The sequence below is a fragment of the Homo sapiens genome, chromosome 15 (assembly GCF_000001405.40).
Source record: "Homo sapiens chromosome 15, GRCh38.p14 Primary Assembly".
Lineage (NCBI taxonomy): Eukaryota > Metazoa > Chordata > Mammalia > Primates > Hominidae > Homo > Homo sapiens.
In genome coordinates this window covers 57,947,304-57,951,603 of record NC_000015.10, presented here as the reverse complement: position 1 = coordinate 57,951,603, position 4,300 = coordinate 57,947,304, and the positions used below count along the sequence as shown (strand labels likewise).

The following is a 4,300-nucleotide window of genomic DNA, read 5'->3' as shown; positions in this document are numbered from 1 at the left end:
GCATTAGCTGGGAGGGGTGATGGCAGTACCCTGCTCTAAGCTGTGAGCCATGTAGCCTCCCCCGTGCCTGAGGACAGCCCCTGCAGTGGCAGGCCCTCATCCTGAGCCGTCCCACAGACTCCCCCACCACCAGGCAGGACATATGGAATGCCTGCTCTCTTTTGCTCTCCACCCAATGCTCTTGCTCACCCAGAACTCAAATAGAGAGGGCAGGAGCTCACGGTTGATAACGGCCTCATGAGTTAAAAGAAACGAGAGCTTAGAGTAGCTGGGGCAGGAGGAAACTGGTCTCAGAATACATGTTAAAGAGTGAGTAGATTTAGAAAGGTGTGAAAAGGAGGAATACAAGATGGCTAGGGGAAAAAAATCTCAATGCAGACTTTGCTAGTCCTGTATTGGCAACATTCTTGGCAGGGAAGGAGGGAAGGGGCAGCCAAAACAGAAATGCCCACTGCCACTTATATGTATTTATATAGTCATTTATTTGTTTTTAGTTTTTCTTTTGGTTGACTAATAATTCAGAAATATTAAAATCGGTCACAAGAATGCTTAAAAGGTAAGAACAAAAATAAAAACAAAGTCCCATGAATTAAAAATTAGAGTTTTAAAAAAATGAAGATGGGAAACTAATGAAATCAGAATGGGGCTAGAAAAATACATATGACACAGTCTTACCATGCTGCTTCTGTGGCCCTGCTGCCTCATGAGGGAATGCTGACACTGCATACCTGGTGGTCCTAAGAAATGAACCTCCCTTCCACCCTCCCTCTCTCCCTTCTTCCTTCCCTCCCTCCACAAATGTTTATTCTGCTAGTCACTGGCACAGGTGCTGGAGATACAAAGCAAGCCACACATGGCTACTACCCTTGTAAATCACACAGTCTAAGGTCACTCATAACCAAGAGTCAGCAGGTTCCCTTGCCATCTCACTCTACCTCCTTCCCACGCACAGACACTGGAGGTACGGAAGGGTAACGTGGTACCATTCCCAGGTCTGCTTAGTGGGTAATCCAGACTGACAACTTTGCCTGGGGCGTCAGCAGATTAGCGGTGTGGCAGAGTGAAATTTCAGCACGTTGCATCAGAGGGTGAGAAGTGTAATCAGAAGTCCTCACTCAGCGTCTCTTAGCAATCACTTACAAGGTGTATGTCTTAACTTCCACGGGCCTCCACTTCCTCCTCTGTAGGATCAAGAGGATCATTCCTGTGCTACCTGCTTCACAGAGGTGTGTGGGGATTAAGCAACATGGTGGATGATATTTCTTCAGTTGGTCTGAGACATGATATACACACGCAACTCCAAACAACTACAGAAAGCAAAAGCAGTCTGCTCTTTGACATTTGCTAATCAGTCTGCAAGACATCAGAATTCACTTCTCACCCAGCGTTGAGGCCTTCATATAGACCCTGACTCTAGGATAGTTTCCTACGGGTTTCCAGTGGGGCTTCCTTGCCTGGAGGCCAGAACTCATCTGAATACCTCAAGCCAGCTAGGGGCCAGAGGGATGCATGCAGCTGTGACTTTCTTCCAAGTTTCAGTCTCCTGTACATTCAACACATTGTTCAGACCCTCTGTAGAGTGATAATCTGAGCCGTAGCCCTGACCACGCTGTCTGTGCCACCCAGAATGTCTTATACAGCAACTGCTCATCCGTGGGACCAGCGGGGAGTGAGAGCATGGGAAAGTCCACTCTGGAATGGCGTGAAGCCCTCTTCCTAAACAGGTACACTGCCTAATTTTCACTTGGTTATTGGCCAGCATAAAAGGATGACCATCTTGCCATTTAGCCTTTAATGTGAAACTGCTGGGATAATGTTTCCTTTGGCCATTTATCTATGTAGCAAGGAGGAACCTGAAACCAGCACAGCCTGCCCCCGTTCCTGCTGGAGCATGCACACCTCTTAATGGTTTCAAGGTCTTTTGGGCTTGCCTTTTTTTTTTTTTTTTTTTGTTTCTCTAGAGCAGTCCCTGTCCTTCTCCTCAAGAAATAGATGTTATCAAGTCTGTTGAGTTGCCCAATTTCTTCTACAACATGGTTTCCCCAGTGACTTTTCAGAAAGGTACCTCTGGTTTCCTATTTTACAGTCTAGGCAGGATAAAATCAAACTAACTCAAGCAATCCTAAGCTGGAAAGAGAAGAGACCCCTCCTACCCCACCTGCAGCCATATGTGGGGATTCTAGGACCCTGTGAAGACCTCTTTCTCTCTAATCCCAGGCAGTTACATCCATTTTATGAACCAATAATGTAGTGCCTTTCTCCAGTTTCTCTTGGTTGGAAATTTAAAGTGACAGCTTTCAAGACCACCACTGGGGGTAGATGAGTAGCAAGGAACAAGAACCTATAGTGCTCGCTGGCTGGCCAGAGCTTGCACACCCAAGGGGAAGGTCTGTTTGTTAAACAGTGGAGGCCTCAGTCTCCATTTCCCGAGTTAGGTTCATTCATAAACAACACAGGATTCGTATAAAATGGAATAAAATCCAGATGCCACTTGTTAATACAATTAGTTCATGCTCCCTGGAGGCCCTTGGGGAGGGTGATGCCCACAAACATTCTCAGAGCCTGCAACAAGTCTGCTTCCAGCCCTGAGTTATGTGTGCCAAGGCGGGTGGGGACAGGGGCTTGTAAGGCCAACGTTGGGAAATGGGGGTGTGTGTGTGTGTGTGAAGGGGGTGTCTACCCCTCACATGTCTGGTCTTTGAAGCTTTGATCTGACATGCTCTGATTCCAGAAAGGGAAGCTTGTTGGTAACATCAAGACCTCCTCCAACGGGTAAAGGGAAATAATTCCAAAGTGCTCCATCACTTACCAGCTGTATGTCGTTGGAAAATTAATTACCCTTCCAAATCCTCTATTTTCTCACCTGTAAAATGGGACGATAAAATTACCTACCTACACTGTTGTCATGAGGGTAGAACAAGAATGCATATAAAGTACTTAACAGCTCCCATTGTAAGAGCTTAAACAAATGACAGCAATTAAAGAAAATGAATAAATAAATCAGTATTTACTGGAGGCTGTAGTCCCAAAGAGGTTGTAAATCTCACATTCCCTTGGGATCCGTTTCTATATGGAAGCCAGGCAGGAGGACACTTACATTAAGGTAGACTCAGATGGTGGGACTGGAGCCAGTAATTAGGAATGCCAGGATGATGGAAGGATAATGACCATTTAAAAATTACATTTCTGTGCCCAGTAAGCTCTGCTCCACCTGCAGAATCACCAAGAGCCAGAGATTTTTTTTTTGACACAGAAAATGTTGGGCTGGCTCTCGTTTAAATGAAGAGATAGCAAGAACAGGCGATGGATAAATTGGTGCAGCCGGCAAATAAATACTAACTTAGAGGAGAGCTTTGCCAATTCGTGCTAAATAAATGTTAGCTGTATTAAGATTATTATTATTATTATCGTGGTCACCAAGCTCGAGGAACATAGTGGCTTTTGGCCTGGGAGAGAAATGACTTGCCTGGTTTGAATATTTAAATGGAACCACAGCAGTCCTCAGGGGGTGATGAGAATGGCTCTGTAAGAACAACATTCTGCAAAGGCCTCTCCTCTCCCCAAAGCTGCAGGAGGAGCAGAGCTGCCCTGGCCAGATGCTGAAAGCAGGAGCCCTCTGCCAAGCAGGGGCTGAACTCAAGTCAGCTCCGCCTAAAGGACAGCAGAGAGAAAACTGGAAAATGCTCAGAACAATTCTTCTGTTGCTTGTTTGTTCTGTTTCATTCCCACAAGAAACTGTTATTCTTGCAAACTAGATACCAGGCTGGGCCACAAGACCAACTGATAACCTTTTAAAAATCTAGGAAAATAAACCCACGCTGGAAACCCACCCAATCCTGAGGTCTGAGCTTGGGGCGTGATGACCCAGGATTCTGACTTGGCTTTTTTATCCCCCTTTTCTTCTCTAAGATAACAAGAAATGCGAAACGCCACATACATATTGGAAACACTTGTCATTTTTTTCCACTTACCCTCAGCAATATCAAGGACTGTAATAAATAAGCCTGTCAGGAATTCTTGTCAGGAAACTAAACCACAGTTTTTAGTCTTGCCTATTCAACACATTGTTCAGAAATGTTTTGGTAACCTTTAAAGCCCTACTCCAGGAGAGAGGTTCCCATACCCTCCAATTCAATTCTTTCCTATTTTGAAGGTCATCGACACTTTGGGAGATGTGCTTATTTACATGGGTTTGAGTCATCCATCCAGGTCTTCTGCTGAGGAGGCAGGAAGGCACAATGCTTGTGAGGAAAAAGTGTTCCACAGAGCCACCAAATTGTGTGGTCCCAGCCCTCCTGAG

At 45.5% G+C, this 4,300-nt stretch overlaps 1 annotated feature.

The window, feature by feature from the left end:
- Positions 3,479-3,773: a silencer, noted in NCBI's record as "tiled region #1312; K562 Repressive non-DNase unmatched - State 22:ReprW". NCBI's record gives its function as "represses a minimal TATA promoter and a strong SV40 promoter by Sharpr-MPRA in K562 cells {active_cell/tissue: K562}" and the evidence as "EXISTENCE:reporter gene assay evidence [ECO:0000049][PMID:27701403]".